The 21,180-nt window shown below is 31.0% G+C and overlaps 1 long non-coding RNA gene across 3 annotated transcripts; it reads left to right on the top strand.

The window, feature by feature from the left end:
- The first annotated feature begins 4,364 nt into the window (after positions 1-4,364).
- LOC101929967 (uncharacterized) lies at positions 4,365-13,030 on the top strand. 3 transcript variants are annotated; one of them, XR_945096.2, is made up of 3 exons: positions 4,365-4,530; positions 6,978-7,161; positions 12,809-13,030. It is a non-coding gene; the product is annotated as an uncharacterized LOC101929967 (long non-coding RNA). The 3 variants fall into 3 exon arrangements; XR_945097.1 differs by lacking the exon at positions 12,809-13,030 and adding an exon at positions 11,461-11,575; XR_007063371.1 differs by lacking the exon at positions 12,809-13,030 and having other exon boundaries at positions 6,978-7,224.
- The last annotated feature ends 8,150 nt before the right edge of the window (positions 13,031-21,180 follow it).

Below are 21,180 nucleotides of genomic sequence, written 5' to 3'. Positions count from 1 at the left end.
ATTTATAGTCTGTTTAAAAATTTTCCAAAAATGTAGTTTCAGTAGATATTTCTTTAAATACAGCTTGAGTATCCCTAATCCAAAAATTTGAAATACAAAATGCTCCAAAATACGAAACTTTTTGAACACAAACATGTCATCACAGGTGGAAAATTTTACACCTGAACTCATGTGATAGATTGCAGTCAAACACAATCAAAACTTCCCATGCACCAAATTATTTAAAATATTGTATAAATTACCTGTAGTTTATGTGTATAAGGTATATATAAAACATAAATGAATTTTGTGTCTAGATTTGGATCCCATCCCCAACATATCTCATTGCATGTATGCATCTATTCCAAAATTTGAAAAAAAACTAAAAAATCTGAAACACGTCTGGTCTCAGCATTTTGGATAAGGGATACTCAACCTGTACATAATTTTTAGAGCCATTCACATCAAAATTGAGTGGAAGGTACAGAGAATTCCCATATACCCCTGCCCACGCACATAAAACATACCTCCAGATTGGTACATTTGTTGCAATCAGTAAACCTAAATAAACTCATCACTATCTCCTAAAGTCCGAAATTTATGTTAGGGTTCACTTGTGTTGTACAGTCTATGATTTTTTAAATAAATGTTTGATGACATATATCCACCATTATAGTATCATACTGAATATTTTTACTGCCCTAAAAGTTTTCTATGTTCTGCTTATTTCTCCTTATCTACCTCCTAATTCCTGGCAACTACTAGTCATTTTACTGTCTCCATAGTTTTAACTGTTCCAGAATGGCATATAGTTGGAATCATACAGTATGTGGCTTTCTTAAATTAGCCTTTTTACTTAGTAATTATGCATTTAAATTTTCTCCATATGTTTTTGTATTTTGATAGCTCATTCATTTTTAGAGCTTCATAGTGTTATATTGTCTGAATATATCACAGTTTATTCATCTACTGAAGTACATTTTGTTTGCTTTCACATTTTGACAATTGTGAGTATAGCTTCTGTAAACACCCATGTGCAGGTGCAGGTTCTTGTGTGGACATAAGTTATCAACTCACTTGGGTAAATACTAAAAAGGGTTATTTACGGGCACTATATTTAGTTTTGTAAGAAACTATCAAATTGTCTTTCAAAGTGGCTGTACCATTTTGCATTCCTGTCAGCAATGAATAAGAATTCCTGTTGCTCCGTATCTTTGCCAGCACTTGGCGTTTCAGTGTTTTGGATTTTGGCCATTCTAACATGTGTATAGAACTATCTTATTTTTCTAATTTGCAGTTGCCTAATGACACATGATATTCAACGTTTTTTCATATGTTTATTTGCCATCTATATAATCTTCTTTAGTTAGGTGTCTACTCAGATCATTTGTCCACATTTTAATTAGGTTGTTCATTAACTTATTACTGAGTTTTGAGCATTCTTTTTATATTTTACATAAGTCCTTAATGAGGTATGACTTTGCTAACATTTTCTTTGAGTCTGTGATTTGTTTTCTCATTCTCTTTACAGTGTCTTCCACAGAGCACAAAATTTTTAAAAAAATTTTAATGAATTTTCTCTGATCAATTATTGCTTTCATGGTAACAAATAATTTAGCATTGTATCTAAGGCATTGCCAAACTCAAAGTCATCTGGATGTTCTCAGGTCTGTAATCCAGTTTTAGTTAATTTTTGTGAAGGTATGACGTCTGTGCTAAATTTCTTGTTTTGGTCGTAGATGTTTAGTTGTCCCCGCACTATTTTTTCTATTGTATTGTCTTTGCACCTTTGTCAAAGCTCGTGACTATATTTTTATGTCTGTTTCTCTATTGTGTTCTATTTATGTATTTAGTTTTTCACCAGTACTACACTGTCTTAATTACTGTAACTTTATAAGAAGTTTGAAAGTTGTGTAGTGTCTATTCCCTAATTTGTTCTCCTTTTTAATACTGTGTTGGTTATTCTGAGTATTTCACCTCTCTATACAAACTTAAAAATAGGCTTCTTGGTATCCACAAAATAACTTGCTGGAATTCTGATTGGGATGGTATTGAATGTATAGATAAGTTGGGAGAAACTATCATCTTGACGATATTGACTCTTCCTATGCATGAACATACAATGTCTCTATTTAGGCTTTCTTTGATTTCTTTCATTAGAGTTTTGCAGCTTTTCCCATATAGATCTTACACATTTTTTAGATTTATACCTAAGTATTTTAATTTGCGAGGTGTTAAAAGAGCACTTTTAAAGTATAAACAGTGTGGGACTTGTCAAACTTGAACACTTAAAACAGAAAACAAAATTTTTAAAAGAACCATAGCACATGAGGAAAAGAGGCCCAACACCACATGTGAATATAAACAGTGAGTGTAAGCTTTAGAAATAATGATTGTCAGCCCTGTACCTGTCAGTAAACGCTGAACACAATAATGTTTTGACTCTTACAATGGATATATTTTGAGTCCTTGAATAAACTGAAGCAGCTGAATAACCATGAAAAAAAAAGCACAGAATAAGAACAACAATATGTTTCTTTCTTTGTTATGATTTTCTTAGTATTATGATAAATATTTATCACTCAGATAAACATTAAACTCCTTATTTAAAATAAACTCAAGATACAAAATAATGAACTAGAGTTTTGAAAGCTGTAAAAAGGAGTCTAAATTATTATTAAAACCTGATTATAAATGGTGCAACTCTCAAAAATTATTTTTGACATAAAAATATAAAACAATGAAATTTCTACCTGTAAGGAAAATGCATTTCTAATGTAAAAAGTTGGAGAAGCACATATGTAGGTAGGTAATGATATATAAAACTTATTTTAATAGAATTATATTAAAAGTTATTTTTCCTATATTGTTAGGAAAACATATAACATATATGAACAAGTACACATGAAGCTTCCAGTAAATATAAAAAATAGCACACACAAAGCTTTTAAAAGAGTAGATAAGAATATAAAAGGAAATATAACTAATATATTTTAAATAGAAAACCAATTAAACAGGAGAGTAAATAGACAGAATTTCAGTTTATGAATATTTATTTTTTGTATGTGTATCCACTCACTGCTTGGATTATCTTAAGACTAAGTTAATATTTGTAGAGAGCAGGAAAGAATAAAGAGAGTGAGGAAGCAAGGAGGGAGAAAGCGAGAAAGAAAGGATAGAACAGTGACAAATAGGAGGTGAAAATGAGATTCCTGTAGACATTTTTAAGGAAAAGTAATAGCAAAGTTCTCATAGGTGTCAACTCTAATGTTTTCCTAATTTTCTTTGTCCCTTCCCTCAAGTTGGCTTCCTTAAATCTTTAAATTTAGCTTCAAGTTTCTCAAGCTTGTTTTTAACACAAATTATTTATTGCCTATACTGATTTTTAAAAGTAGTCTCCAGTCACCTTAGCACAGCATTCAAACTACACTATCACTGTTGGATTATAATGTGAAATTGATCTTACTGTGTGAGAGACATTGTCTCAAAAATATTTGAGACATTTATATTGGCTCAAAAATTTCACTGAAAAATTCTGGAAAACAATGTGGATAAATTGATTAACACTAAGAATGTTGGAAAGTTTTTGAGCAAACTTGAAATATTAAAAGGCTCAGAAATGGCAGCTGAAAAAAAAATTAAAAATACAAGAAAGCTCAGTAAAATATTATTCTCAAATATTTTGTGCGTGTTAAACTATTAAAATGAACAAATCTTGAATCAGTGTCATCGTTTCTTATGTATATCCAAAACACTTCATTTTTATTAAGGTGGAAACCACATTCCTTTTCATTGTAAATTATTCTAAGACTCAGAACCTAATACATCTTAGATGCACTATAAAATTATTTAATGTACATGTTCATTCTCTTCAAATACATATGGTCCAGTAAGTTAGACTTATATAACTTAGGAGAACATTAAATGATTATTTTTTCACTGATGGGATGTGTGTGTGTGTGTGTGTTTGTGTATATATATATACACACATATATATGTTCATGCACTTTTTTAAACAACAGAAAAATGTTAGAAAATAAAACTTAATTGGCAATTTTGTGAATGGTTAAGAGAAAATCCTACAGACCTAACCATAAAGAACACTGATACATTTTTCTCTTATAACCTGTAGAAACAATTTCAAGTAAAATTTACCAAAAAAAAAATACATTAGTTCTTTCCATTAAGATTTTTCAAGAGTTTCACTTGTAAGCAGAATAAGGCACAACGACATTTTCTGTTAACTGTTTGGAACAGAATCAGTCTGTGTTCTCTTTCTCCCTCTCTCTGGGATGTGTAACTGAATCGTCATCAGCCTGAACTCCAAGCTACATGACTGTAATTAATTACATCACAATTGACCTATTGTTGAGGTCTCCATTTGCCCTTGCCAACCTGGACTCATAATTTTTTACTAATGGACAAATTACATTTTGTACTCTTTCACTCTAATGCAAAAAGAAACAGACACAGAGAGAGAGATAGAAATAGTGACATAAATGGCCCAGATAATGCTAGAAAACCCCATTTTATGAGAAACCTTCACAAAATGTAAGTATGAGAAACCAAATTGCAGCTCGTACAAAGAGCATAGAAAGGGAATTCTAAGGAAATTGCATAAATGACATTTTTGAACCAAATAAGACATGAAGTAAATGATACCTTACCTACTACAATAATTCCTCAAAGAAGTCAGCATATTTATTTTGGGGTCAATACTTTGGCTGCTACCAAAATCAACAAGCAAAGTTATACCTCACAGTTTTAATAAGTGGATACTCTTTAATATGTTTTGTATTTCCAAATAACAATTTTATGTGATTATAAGATAATACATACTTTGTAAATAATTTTATCTGATTATAAGACAATGCATACTTGTTTGTATTTCTCTGTCTTTCTATCTCAGAAGAGAGAGAGAGAAAGCAATACAAACAAGTATGTATCTCTCTATCCTAACAGAGAGAGAGAGAGAGAGATTGATTTTGGGAATTGGCTCTCATAATTGTGAAGGCTGAGGAGTCCTACCACCAACTCTGCAAGCTGGAAGAACCATCAAAGCCAGTGATATAATTTAGTCCAGGCTGATCAGGAAACCTGAGAAGCAAGATTCCACCTATGGTGTAAATTCCAGCCCATGTCTGAAAAGCTGAGAACCAGGGGTTGTGGGGAAGGAGGGATGAGGGTATAAGTTCTGGATTCAGAAGGTATAAAAACCAAAAGCTCCTACATCCAAAGGCAGAAGATGGATGTCCCAGCTCAATAGGAGAGAGAGAATTTGCCCTCCCTTTTTTGCTTCATTAGAGTGCTCAAAAGGTTGCATAATGCCAGGCCACCTTGCGAAAGGAATGATCTTTACTCAGGCAACTGACTCAAATTCTAATCACTTCTGGAGATATCCTCACAGACACACCCAGAAATAATCTTTTGCCAGCTATTTGGTCAAGCCCAGTCAAGTTGACACATACAATTAACCAGCAAATACTGACCCTTTATCAACTTGGCACCCATACACAAATAAAGACAATAATAAGGTCATTCCATATAACATAATACAGCTATCTTGCATATAACCAAAAATCTAATCCCTTCCCCAGAAGAGAATGTAAAGTCCTTAAGTAATGTCACATAACTTAAATACTATGATGTAGTGGTAATAATACTTAATACTGATAAAAAGTTAATAATTTTATGTTACATCATAAGGATATTAGAGAGAAAGTAAATATTCAAGACAATTTCTTAATTTCTTAAGTCACACAGTATAGTTCGTATTTATAACTACCTTCTACTACTCATTCTGTGTTCTCTTTGCCTTCAGTAAGTACCTCAGCTGGTTATGTTCTTTACCTAATAAGGTGACCCAAACTTAATCCCTAAAGGGCCTGGGTCATTTGTAGTTCTGCTTGGATGGGGTTGTAATTTCCTATTGACCTTAATCACAGGACATAGTAACACCGAGGACATCCTAAGGGATGTCCTGTACTTCAGACATATTCTTCCTTACCTCCATTGTGGAGTAGTAGTCAAATTTTCCCTTGGTAGTCAGGAGCAATTACCTTAGCCAACACTGTTATTCTCTTCTTTGCCTGTTGACTCAGAGGCGTGAGGAGCACTTGGTGGCAAGGGTTGGGGAGAGGCCAATTGCTATTTACAAAACATGTCATCCTATCCATTTGATTACTAAAATACTCCTCTGTTGAGGCCACCTTTTGGTGAGTTTCACATGGGACACATATTATTATGTCATTTGCCCATTCTAACACGTCTATTCACATTCCTCTTTCCCAAATGTCTTTGTCACCAATTTTCCAATCATGTTTCTTCCAAGTTCCTGACCATCCAAACAATTGGCAGCCCATGAATTGCATGCCTGGCCATTTCTCCTTCAAAGCAAAGTGGGTAGCTTTGAAGGTTTTCCTGAGAAAATTTCCCTTTACCACTGTTCTTCAGGAGTGTATCAGAGAGGAGCTGTGGTTCTGCAACTGTCAACTTTTATGTGCTGCCTGCACACCTTGCAGAATCATTTTCTATTACATGGATAGACCATAAAATGGGTCAATTTTGGAACTTATCTCGAGTTATTATTTGGAGTATCCAAATCATAGTAAACTCTCAAGAATTGTTACCTATTATTGTTTTTCCATGAGCATTTTGATTGTTTAACATTATCTGTTATAAACAATACTTTAATCAAAATTATGAATTGAAATATTTCTCTGAATCTCTAATGACTTGAGATAATTTCTCAGAAAGTATTGGATGTTACCTATTTGAAGGTCTCAGTATTGAAAGTTTGTAATTATTTGTCTCATTATACTCTATTATTATTTTTATGTCAAAATTTATTATAAATAATAGAAAAGATGTACCTTCCCCCTTTAACATGAATCTTTAATGCTTTATGCTTTAATATGGTTAACGATAGAAAAGTAATTTGTTTATATGTTTATTTCTCTATGCTTTATTCCTATTTAAAATTAATTTCTCTTTTAAAGCAACAGTTTCCAGATGGTGTTTCATAGAGATCTAAGGAGCCAGGTAACATCCTCTGAAGCAAGGGAATTAGGAGATAAAGAGAGGCTGGAGGAGCACAGTGGACGTTCGACCTCAGACTTTGACTTGCCTCAACCTACTTTACAATTTAGGCCTCAACTAAAGACAAAATGTGAAGATGCTTTGGTGATTACTCTATTTTGGTGTTAGTAATTGATTACTGATTCATAATCACTCTATACATGTTAATCCTATTGATTCTTTGTATTTTTTATAAATATTTCAGGGTTTCTTTTTTTATTTGAGTTTGATGGTTTATCATCACAAAAAAAATTGCCTTTAGGTAGTAAAATGTATTAATTCATTGTATTCATTACATCAAATATCTATATCTATATCTATAAAATGTTTAGATTTATAAATTGAAATGATTAGGGAGAAAAACACAAAACATTATCAAGACACATTTGAAAAATAGCCTTAAATAAAGGAGAAGGATACCATATTTACGAGTGGAGATATCAAAAATTAATATGTTTTAAGTCAAGTTCCACTGGAAACAAGCTCAGGTAGAGATTAGTTTGAAGGCAGTTTGCTGAGGAGAGCTTTTGGTAACAAAGCTCATGATGATACATTTGTTATCATTTGTAGGACTTGGCAGAGAGAAAATTTGAACTCTGATCCAGTTGCAACCAATGTCTAAGCCAATCCCATTAAGAGCTCTGGAGCTGGGATAGTCCTTTAGAAATGTCTTGAATTGGGCAAGGAGTTTAGACCTTCGTCCTTCCACATTAACTAGTAATTGCAAATAGGTACCCTGGAGAGGGGCCTAACCTTGGGCAATGTCTAGGGAAGAGACCTAAACCAATGTCTAGTGAAGAAACTAACTACAGTGTTCTTGGCAGCTTGGATAATACAACCCTCACTTCCCCTATATGACAAGATGTCAATTACTTTTCTATAGTTGGGAGTATAAACTGATATAAATTTCTGTAAAGAAATTTGGTAAAGTAAATCAAATTTTTCCAATCAGTTTCTAGATTATTTTTCTAATAAAATAAATATATGACAAAGATTTATAGGCAAGCATGTAAATTTTATATTCTTATTCTCTATATACCTATAAATACAAATACATAATTATAACTGAACTATATAATGTATATTGTAATTGACATATACCATGATATAATACACTGATATTATATGTGCTAATATATATGGAAAATTTTTATCAATTGCACGTAAACAATGGAATTATGGCTGATCCTTTTTCTCTACTGTTTATTTTTTTATATTGTCCAAATTGCTTATAAATAATATTACTTTTTAATGGGAAAAAATATTAATTATCCTTCTGATTCATATGCCTTAAACTATCTCTTGGCTTCTTTATATCAAACACAGAAGTAGACTAAATTTTTGTTTTCAATATTGCTCTGTTTCTAATTATAATGTAAGTCATACAAGTCTAGGGAATATATATCTTCCTACCAAAAGATACCTCGCTAGAGCATATTGTGAAGTTGTTTGTGGAGATGAGAGACAAGTCATGTGGCTATTTCTCAAATTGTGATCAGATCATCTCGGATCACCTTGTCACTAATTTAAACTTGGTAGTACAGAATGCTGTTAATCAGGGTAAAGAGTATAGATATTAGCATTAGCCAAATGTGGACTGAACTCTTAGCTCTATCATTTGGCAGCCATGTAGTCTGGAGAAAGTTTTTAACTTTTCTATTCTTCAGCCTCACTATCTGTATAATGGAGATAACAACATAATATTGCATAGAATAAATGAGAGAAAAGATGTTAAATAATTCCTATGATTTTGGTCAAATTTGTAGGGATACATTGGTGATGAAAAATTATAGCTATTTTATTATAATTTTTATGAAAATGTCATTTTCTTAGAAAGTCATTGGCACTAATTTGGATACAAACTGAAGGAAATAAACTATGAAGAGAACTCCAACTCACAAAATTCCCATAATATTTTGGTCTAATTACTATAATTTTATGGATTCCAGTCAATAATTTACTTTGCTTCATTCAAAGTAAAGAAAAATATAATTTCTGCCCAGTAGTTTCAAGAAAAAATTCTTGTAACAATTGTAACACACAATTTTAACACAAGAAAATTACATGATGGATGGAAAACAATTATTCTTAAAAGCCTATATATTATATATATTTGAGAAATATATATAAATATATATTTGAGAAATATATATGCAAATATATATATTTGAGAAATATACATGCAAATATGTATATATTTGAGAAATATATATATTTGAGAAACATATGTATACATATAAATTTGAGAAATATATGTATGAAAATATATATTTGAGAAATATATGTATGAATAGATATATTTGAGAAATATATGTATGTATATATATTTTGAGAAATATATGTATGAATATATACTTGAGAAATATATGTATGAATATATATATCTTTGAGAAATATATGTATGAATATATATATTTGAGAAATATATGTATGTATATATATTTGAGAAATATATGTATAAATATATATATTTGAGAAATAAGTGTATAAATATATATATTTGAGAAATATATGTATAAATATATATATTTTAGAAATATATGTATATATATATTTGAGAAATATATGTATAAATATATATATTTTAGAAATATATGTATATATATATTTGAGAAATATATGTATAAATATATATATTTGAGAAATATATGTATAAATATACATATTTGAGAAATATACGCATAAATATATATATTTCAGAAATATATGTATAAATATACATATTTGAGAAATATATATAAATATATACATATTTGAGAAATATATATAAATATGTACATATCTGAGAAATATGTATAAATATGTACATATCTGAGAAATATATATAAATATGTACATATTTGAGAAATATATATAAATGTATATATACTTGAGAAATATATATAAATGTATATATATTTGAGAAATATATATATAAAAGTATATATATTTGAGAAATATATATATAAATGTATATATATTTGAGAAATATATATATAAATGTATATATATTTGAGAAATATATATATAAATGTATATATATTTGAGAAATATATATATAAATGTATATATGAGAAATATATATAAATGTATATATATTTGAGAAACATATATATAAATGTATATATATTTGAGAAACATATATATAAATGTATATATATTTGAGAAACATATATATAAATGTATATATATTTGAGAAACATATATATAAATGTATATATATTTGAGAAATAAAAGTTTTTAGTGCTTGAAACACAGGTTTTCGATACTTTTTACATCTAATGACCTAAGATAAAGGGATAGATATATATGTTGAGAGCCTAGGGAGCTTCTTAATACATTTGGTAATGGTAAGTTATGCAGAATTCTAATAAAAGCACAAAGCTACCTCATAATGTATTTTACCCTATCAAGGAAGCAAATCTGTGCCTTTCTTCCAACAATTATTTGGCAAAACTGCCAAACAATTTTAACATGGTTTTACTATTTTTCATTTTAAATTACACATAACTAATCAGAATCATGGTCATGCAATCTAATATACGTGGAATATTTGCTTTGCAAACATGTGCATTGGGAAACTCTATATATGAGCAATATTTCACTTACTCAATTTTTGTGCTAGGTGCTTGAGTCTCTATCTCTACTCTGGGAAGTGATTAAAATTGAAAGATAACCTAATAAGCAATTTTGCAATTTCCCTGAGATGGAGATTAGCAAAGCAGCCTTCTTCAATTAAATCTGAAGGCTGGTGAAATGAAAGGGCACTTGATTCATCTGTTTCTACCCTTCTGACTATGACATGAACAAATAAATTCTGTCAACAAATGGAGAGGACATATCAGGGTTGCTTTATTTATAATGTTAAACTGTAAAAGGCAATTAATTTTATGACCCTTCTAGAAACTGATGTAAATTTGACTCAGATTTCTACTTTATTTTCAGAATAGCTCTCAGTATAATGTATTGCATAATTAATTTTATTGGACCGTCATGAAAATTTTTCTCTGCCAACAAAATAACACTACTGCTGCTTCATTAGTTTCTTCTTCACAGTTTAAAGAACAGCCTATGGTAAATTAATCAGGTGGCTTCATATTTTCAACTGTAATAATACAAATTTAGGTCAGAAATTTCTAAAACTTTTTTTTCTTGGAAAGTAACTATTTATTGAAACAAATGTAAGTGTATAGAGAATCAGCAGTCATGACCTTTAGTCTAGTTTCATTTCTTGTAATCTTATGTATGTAATCTTAACTAAACCACTGGATTCTCTGGGTTCTGCATATTTTCATTTGGAAAACGTAAAATCATCTTTTGGTAATTTACTTTTTTCCCACTATAAAATGTAACTTTTTTATATAAAGTGTATGATTAAATCAATTATTCTGGAAATCTGGTATATGGTTGTCTGCTGTCTTTTAGGAAAATTTTCTGAGTCCCATTTGAATCCTATGGAGTTAGACCCTATATAGAAACCATATTCAGAATCCATATTCAGGAGACCTCTCCTCTCAGATAATTTGATTAAGTGCAATTATTAACAGGTACAGTATGCCTTGCATCACTTCCCAACATTTTTGTTCTTGTTGCTGAGGGCCTTTTTCTTCGGGTTGATAAAAACTCACTGTTGCTATATAATACTATGTAGAAATTTGAAAACAATTGGAGAAAATGTAAATATAAATTACAAGTTTTCACTTATTTCTTTTATTATGGAACATGTGGCAGCAAAAATAAAAGAATCAAAGAAACGTCATTAATATGTCTATTTGCCAGCCCTACTTCTTTTGGAAGAAGTAGGAAATAAGTGAATTATGAAAATTCACTTATCTTTAAGTTTTCATCTACCTTAGCAGAGTAAATTGTTTTTACAATTTTTATAAATTCTTTTTAAGCCTGTTATAAATATAATTTCCTTGCCTATACACATTTAAATAAAAGCTACAAAATGTTTTAACCCTGTTAATTCAATTTTACTTGGCTATGAGTCTATTTATACAAAAGTTGCACTTAGCCAAGTTGTGCACTTTGGTGAAAGGAGTAATGGAGCATAAATATGAAGACTTGGAACTGGTCCCAAACCTGCTACTAATAGCCATAGGCATTGTTTCTTTATCAGTAAAATTGGTATACAGCCTTTGTAACAATGGTTTTATAAAAATCAAGTAATGTATATTATATTATTATGCTTTAAAATGTTATATAAGTTACACAATACCTTGCAAATGAAAGATATTGTTTTAACAAATTTAAAATATAATACAGGCCTTATCTACATAAGCCATATTTGACCAAATAGTTAACTAATTTGACGCATAGCTTCTGGTGCATATATCTCTGGAAATATGAAGGAAATATAAGTTAGAAATAGAAGTTTGCTAGTGTTTCATGTAATATATATAACTATTTTCTTGCTCTATGGTAAAAATCTATTTCCTAAATAATCGTGGGTGTATTTTATAGTGATATTCCAAGCACAAACTTAAAATGCAAATGTAGGCTTTAAGTGTAATGATGTTGTATTACGATAACAAAGCAAAGAAAATATGAAATGTGAAGACAATATAAAATGTAAAAAGAATAGGAAAAATGTACTAAATCTAGAAATACTTAAAGGAAGCGACATTGCAATAAAAAGTCTGAAAAGGAACTCTCCTTAGCAGAGCATGTTTTGATGTATGTAGAGTTATAGAATTAGCTAGCAGAGAATCACTTCGTGGTTTGGAAATAATGAGAAGCAGCTTCTGATTTGTTTATTTGCTTTTCAAAGGAGATCGGAATGAACTGGAAAAGGAATCAGAAAGAAGAGTTGAGTAAAATTCTTGGGAAGATAGAAACTACATAATTGAAGAATAGCTGAATCCAGAGGGAATAGCATCATTCTCATGGTTAAGGATCACATAAAACTTGCATGGAATGATTAAGTCACCTAATGACAAGTTTCAGATTATTTTCCAGGAAATAGTGCTCTAGCACCTGAAAATTCATACTACACAAAGCTATTATAAATAGGAATTAGTGAAATAATTTTCACATTTCTTTACCATTATGTAATTTGCATTCAATTTATCTTCAGTGTTAAAATAATCTACTTTGACTAATTATGGATTGGCTTGAAGAAGCTGGTGACTTCTTGAAGACAAAAAAGAGATGAGTACAGTCTGAAGGTTTTGCTTTGTTAGAATAGAGCTTTTCTGAATCCCTGTCACCTATATTTTTAGTGGTAGAAAAAACATTAAAAGTTCTCAGGGATCCCTTTTTTCAGATGTTATTGTGCACCAATATAACACAGCCATCATAGTAATTTCAGTCTAATAAATAGCTTGGGAGTTAAGCCATACGACAAGGGTACAATCTATAGTCCACCAATTTGATTTCATAAACTGATAAACAGTTTTGCACTGACCTCTCCTCCTTTATTTTGAAAGTTTAGGGGTTTTTTTTCTGTTGCTGGTTGTTTTATTTTATATTTAACACATCCAACTTCCTATACTTGATTCATTATTTTATTGACTTTTTCAGAGAAATTTTTCTCTAATAAATTCTGGAGCTCTTGACAAGCCACTGATTAATCAAATAGAGTCAGTAAAATACAGTAGTCATTTAAATCCCTGTTTTGCTTTGTTTTTTTCATAAATCAGTGTACAATGCTAATCTATACATAATAGAAGGAAGTGTTTGGTTTTTATAGAGGTTTTAAATAACTAATGTCTAATTTTATATCTGAGGTAAGATTTTATATTTTACTGGCTACAACTTCTTGTAAAGCCAAGTATACATTTCTACTAATTCCAAAATTGTTATACATTTGAATGTTCACAATGGCCTTGTAAAATTACCTATGGAAAAAAATCTAATGAATGGTATAATATTTACATTACAACTATTCCTTAGATAATTTACATTTTCCAGTAAGCCTAGGTAATAATTCATGATGGCAGAAAGGATTATTTTAGAAGTCTATCTTTTCAGTTTATGTCTTGAATTAATATTTGCCAGTGGAGAGAACTAATTGAAACTATTTGACTAGTTTGAGAGGGAATTAAAAGAGTTTACGAAATATTATTACAAATGCTGTTATATTTTCATCTATACTCTGTTTATGATCAAATAAATTAAATACTGGTAATTTGACAATTTATGTACTTTCAATTTTTGTTGTTTAAGTGTTTATAATATTCTTTTTTCTGTAATTTTTAATCTGAGTCCTTATGTCTCCTTTTGCCATGAGGTCAACAAATGTTCTAATTTTGAAATGGCAGTCCTAATATTTACCTTTTTTCATAATCCCAGTGTCACAAGATAATTTTCAAAAAATATATGGATCTATATTTTTTCCTCGACATTTTCTCACTTCATCTCAAGCTGGAAGCTCTGCATTGACGTTTATCGCAGAGATCAAGGGTTATTTGAGGTGATTGGTTCTTCCTTTCTTTGTAGATGGTTTAATGATTATGATCAGTGTCTAGGACAATAAACACTGAACACAAATATGTGTTTAAGTCTGTGCTTGGCACAATTCTAAGTACATCACATAATTATTCCTTTTGTTTCTATTAATCTTATAAGACAGGTCAGTGCTAGCATTAACTCCTTTTGAAGATAAGATATTTGAGGATAAGTTCTGCAAAGCAAGCAGTCAAGCTGCTAAGTGGCTGAGCTAGGGTTTGAACTCAAGCAATATTTCCAGTCCATTGGTCACAGCCACTATATTTTCTCTAATATACTAAGTTGTTTATGGGAGTCCAAATGGACAGGGAGAGATGAAGGATGTGGTTGTTTACAAGATCCTAACTACATACCTGCTAGGTGTACCTAGGGTGACAAGACCCTTAATACAATGACTTCAAACTCAATAAAGATTTTAGTGTTCCAGTTTATCAAAGAAGCAGCACATAGCCATGGTGGGCTCACCTGCAAGGCCTCTCAAGGATTGTAGATTTCCAAGGCAGGATAATAAAGGATAAATAAGATTAAGGTTTAGTTGAGTATAAGAAACAAATAGTTTATAAAAGGAGAGGGAGGATTGGGCTTTATGAGAACAAATAAGACATGATTCTTATGATTTTCAGCCTTTCCAGCAGGGACAAATACCATTTTAGACTTAGGAAGATTATTGTACTGACATAACATCCATATGAAGATGTCAAACAGAAAACTGAAAATTCTCAATCACAGGGACTATGGTAGAAATGGCATTATGGTTTGGAGAGTCTTCTACACATAAATGGAGTTTCCTCATACAAATTCTTAATACATATGTTTTTCAATGAATGACAAAAGAAAGCTATTGTTTTGTTTCTACTATTATTGGTCTTAGAAAACTATGTGAAATATGGAAAGGAGGGCTTGCAAATTTGAATTAATTACAGACAATTTCCTATCTAGAAAAGTCAAGAGGATCATTTAAATATCAAAATCAATCAGCAAAGTTAGAAACGTGACTGACTATATACCTTCCTCTTGTTTTAGACAAAGGAAATTATATAATGCCCATATGTACATTAAAATAAAATGTATATGAAGACACTCATCCAAATGTTAACCTGGGTTACCTTTAGGTTATGAGATTGAGAATATGTGAGGAGAGGCTACAGTTTACTTTTAAACCTCCGTACTACTTGAACTTATAAGAATAAAATGTATGTTATTTTATTTTAAATTTTAAATGAAAATAGATTTGGGGTTAAGTTGAAGTTACTTTATGTAAAACATTGGTCACTTAGCTTTAAAATGTGCCATCCTAATTCTACCTTACCATTTCTGCTCCATTATTCCCACCTGTTAAATCGGAATATAGCAGAATGGGCCCCGAGAATCCATATTTTAACAGGGCTTCCCTGTTTTTTTATGCACACGAAATTAGAGAGTCACTACTTTAGAGAATAGTTTCAGTACAGATCTAGGAGCAAAAATAAAATTGGAGTAAGAAAACAGGTAAATAAAAGATGCAACTATTGAGGCAGAAAGTAAAGTGCTATATGGAGAAATTTTGAAGGAAATGGGAAATAGATAAGGAATTGCTATTATGCTGGTAACTAAATTGCATTCAGATATATTTCATTAACTTAAAAATTGGCCACGGTGGCTCACCCCTGTAATCCCGGCACTTTGGGAGGCCAAGGCGGGGCGGATTTCTTGAGCCCAGGAGTTCGAGACTAGCCTGGGCAACATGGTGAAACCCCATCTCTACAAAAAGTACAAAAATTAGCCGGACGTGGTGGCATGTGCCTGTAGTCCCAGCTATTTGGGAGGCTGAAGGAGGAGAATCACTTGGGCCCATATAGTTGAGGCTGTAGTGAGCAGTGATCACACCAATGAACTCCAGTCTGGGTGACAGAGTAAGACCCTGCCTCAAAAATAAATAAATAAATAAAATCAAGATTTATTAGAAAAATCTTACTTTTTAACTTCTAGATATGAAGGGCATTTTTAGCTTTGATTTTGCATAATTAGTAGAAGGAGCCTGAATAAGTCAAAGGCATAGTAGTTTGAGTTACACTGCAATGTAAACATCAGAATTGTTTTTTTGCCTATCTTTATTTCATTTCTCCAATAGACATATTTTTTTACATTGTCCACCCTAGCTATAATATCTTTAAACCTTTTCCTGCAAGTGGCAATAAATATTTTTTATCCCTGTTAATTCACCAGAATCAGATATTCTTTCTCTTTGCAATATATGGAGAAATTCACTGCTTTTAATGAATCAGAACTCTGCTGATTCTCACTGGACAGCTGGCATTCGTGTTTATAGCCTTAAAGAGAATGTGCTAACATCAGCATTTGATGAATAACTCCATGTGTATTGTAGTTCCTTCAACAGAAATTGTTCAGAGATTTGGAGAGCTAGTGATAAATAATTAATGAATACAGAAGCAATATTCTCACTTTATTGCCAGACTTAGAAGAAACACACAGTACAAGCTGTAAGACGGGCTTTCCTTTCTCTTTTGTCTTTCCTTTGACTAGTCATTTAGTTGATTGCAGACTCTGTCACTCAGAAGACCTCCAGGCTTATAACGTATCTTCATTTTATCTTGTCTTTAATTCATTTTGTCAAATGAATATCATGAATATTGAAAGCTTCTGTCTTTCAAATGCCACTGAGACATGACTTCTGGATGCAATAACTTAACTGGGATGTGGCAATTATAAGCACATCTACTTTTTATTTTCTACTTTAAGAAATGTCTTGGTTTTGTAATTTTTTATATAATTAAAAGAAATCAAAAATTTAAAAATTATAGCAAAATGGAAAAATTATGTGTAAATTCTATAAAAATCTTAGAACCATATATGAACATAACTAGCAATGCAACAGCCCCACAGATGTTAGTGTTCATTCCTAAAGATTAACTCAAGTTTGGAATGCTTATACAGATAGAGTAACTGAAATGTAATGTGAGCACTTATGAACACAGTGATACAAGCACTAATAAAGATAATTTTGTATAAGATGAGATCTTTCAAGGCACTCTGTATACTGTACTAACAAGTTAAAGAAATGGAACCCACAAAAAGAGTTCTTCCATGAGGCATAAGGAATTATTCATTTAAAAAGAACTTTTTATTTTAATCATATTTTTACAATTTGTCTTATTGTAAAATTTGAACTAAACATATTTCCTAAGAATGACAGCCATTGAGACAATAAAAAGTATCAATCAGGAAAATAAAACATATCTATCTTTATGCCAGGCACAGTACATTACAAATATTACCTCACTTAATCCTCCCAATAACCTGCATAATACATATCATGTCTATCTTATAGATGAAGGTAATTAGGCTAGAAGATAACATACTTTTCTTCAGTTCTCATGGCTCATGAGTATCATACCAGGACTCATACGCAGACATGTCCTCCAAAGTTCATGTTCATTCCAGTGTACTGTCTTGTAGAATACTTCATTTCACCTTGTATAATGTTAATTCTGAATACTTGATTACATAAGACTACTTCTTGGCATCAAATAATCTAAATTATACTATCATTCTCTGGTGTACAGGAATGAGATAAAAATGCTGTGCATATTATGGTTCCAGTGTCATAGTTTGGAATATAATTTCTGACCATTTTCTTAGTTACCTTAGTAGCTTTAATTCTCCCCTATTTTCTTTTTAAAATTATTTATTTTAATTGACAAAAATTGGATACCAGGTATTTGTCATGTACAACATGTTTCTGAAATATGTATACATTGTGAAATGGCTAACTTGAGCTAATTAACATCTGTATTATTTCACATCCTAATCTTTTTTTGTGATGAGATTCTCAAAATCTTAAAAATTTCAAGAATACAACACATTATTATTAACTAAAGTCACCATGTTATACAATAGATCTTTCAAACTTATTCCTTCTCTTCAACTGAAATTTCGGTTTTTTGTTTGTTTGTTTGTTTTTGAGACAGAGTTTCGCACTGTTGCTCTGTCACTCAGGCTGGAGTGCAATGGTGTGATCTCGGCTCACTGCAACCTCCACCTCCCAGGTTCAAGTGATTCTCCTGCCTCAGCCTCCCAAGTAGCTGTGATTACAGGCACATGCCATCATGCCCGGATAATTTCTGTATTTTTGTAGAGATGGGGTTTCATCATGTTCGCCAGGCTGGTCTCGAAATCCTGACCTTAGGTGATCCGCCAGCCTTGGCCTCCCAAAGTGCTGGGATTACAGGCATGAGCCACCGCGCCCGGCCCCCTATTTTCTAATAGTCTATCTTCATCATCCTCATAATGATCTATATTTATCTATCTATTCATCTATCTGCTGAGTGTTTGTGTACTTTACTGTCTTCCTAATCATTATTGAATGTTTAATGAAAGCGAAGATCATCACATTCATTCTTGTTTCTTCAATTACTTGCACAGTGGCATTAAAATTTGTTCAGTAGAAAGGAATATAATCTTTTTCTTATGATGGGATTACATTGAAAGGCCAACGGATGCCCAAGACTGTTGTAAATCAGTGAGGTAGCTAGGGAACCAAAGATTAAAAGGAATTTGCTGGTTCAATTTTCAATTTAATGACATTTTCTACTTATTAAAAGTGAATACACCTGGAGAAAAAGAGCTACCTGATAAAGAAAGCAATCATTATTGTTATGATTTTTAATTCAGGTGAGAGTCATCGTTTTTACAATAGTTGCTGCTAATAATGACTAATTCCCCACAATACAGAAATTTTGCTTTAATCGATCATGCTGATAACACACTATATTTGTGTTATACCTCTTCAAACAGCATCATTCCCCTTTTTTTACTTTAGTTTTCCTTATGAGTGAAAAGTGTGTTGATGTGTAAGGAACAGAAGCCAGGAGTAAGAAATCCAAGTTCTAGTTCTGGCTATTCTAAATATTAGATCTAAAATTGGGAATGTTTCCTTGAACCTCAATTATCTAATACAGGGATTTTAATACATGACTTGTCTATACACATTTTATTTAATTTACTGAAAATCAATAATATGTCAATAACAGAGAAACATATGCTACAATTTTTAGTTATTTAATCATCATGAAAAGCATCATGTAATAGGCTTTATTGCGATTTCATGTTTGATTAAGCTGAGCCCCAAAAACCTCACCAATTTATGTAGACTAATGCAAGTAGCAGAAATCGTACTCAAATACAAGCTGCCTCTCAAAGTCAATGTTCTTGTTTTATAAGTAACTTGATTTTTGTTGTGTTTGTTTTAAAACTTTTGCTTACACAATTGAAAAAAATCATAATTTCCCAAATCAAAATGAAGCTCACTTTCTTTGAAAAATCTACAGGAAGTTCCCCATAGACATTTTTGCTTGCACATTGAATTTATCTGTTGAATCTGATGGGCTTGCATGAAAGATCATTCATAATATACTAGAATCTCATGAACGGAGAAGACAACATAATCCGACCTTAATCTGATGATATACTACCTTTCTCAAAATAGCGCAGAATTGGTTAAATCGTGAACATTTCTAGGCTTAAAAAATTATTTTGTCTCTGAAGACTATTTGTTTTGTGAAAGTTTTGTTATTAGAAACAAAGTTATTTGTTATTGTATTGAAAATTTTCCCCATTTTTGAATGTTTGTTTTATAAAGTAATACATAATATGATTATGCTTTATTGCACATAAAAGCTTTAAATATTCAAAAGACAAGTGTTTCAAAATACTTAAGAATTTTATGAATCTTATCTTTTATCTAATATTTATTCAGTGGGCTTTCATTTGATATAAATTGGGGTTCTTCACCACCTTAGTAACTCTTTTCTGGGCTTCTCTTACTGAATGTAAGTTTAGGTTTTGCCCACCAGAGAGAGAGCAGTTCTGTCATTTGCCATGTTCTTAAATTATTTTTGTTTTCTGGGTAATGAAATCTAGGAATGCCTTCTTGAATTTGTGGCAATGGTTCTATACTACTGTCTTTTATTAAGCTCACAAACAACTATAAATTCTGGTTCTTTGTTTTCCATGGAGTCAAGTTGTATTTCCTTATATTGTACTTTTCAGTTTATTTTTGGACTTAATTTCAAGACTTCCATCATTATCCATCTTAAAATTCTTCTTAAGTTTACTCTAACTTCAAACTTGATATGATCATTTTATATTATCCCATTCAAATTCTTTGCTATTCCTTCTTAAACTATGTCTTTCAAATGCTTTAGATTTTTAACAAGAACTTTTGGACATGGAAGCAAACATGTTTTACTACTTAATATAGATAAGTTATTCAGTAATCTTTCTATGCAGTATTTTACCAGTGATCAATTCTCCTAACTTTATTTCAAATATAAATTTATTAAGTCCACATAATATTTTGATAAACATTAATCAAATTCATAACAAAATTCAGGTTATAATTGAGGATATCAAACTAGGCTCAGTTGGAGTTCATAGTAGACATACACTGTTTGGACTTCAAGGGTTTAGAAGAATGAAATTCAATGACTTTAGGAGAGGCATGCATTCTCCCCTTTCCACAGGCCTTTGAACTCCTTATTGATTTACACATAAAACTTCACCACATGTATTCTCATTGTCTCGCCCCTGAAAACATTTGAATTTGAGACCACTACATCATTCCCCTGAGCTATTAGCTTTATAATCCATATAAATCTTAGCAATTTATAAGATCATGTCTGAGGTTTACCAGTT

Source organism: Homo sapiens, chromosome 12 (assembly GCF_000001405.40).
Source record: "Homo sapiens chromosome 12, GRCh38.p14 Primary Assembly".
Taxonomy (NCBI): Eukaryota; Metazoa; Chordata; class Mammalia; order Primates; family Hominidae; genus Homo; species Homo sapiens.
This window is presented reverse-complemented; position numbering and strand designations above follow the sequence as displayed.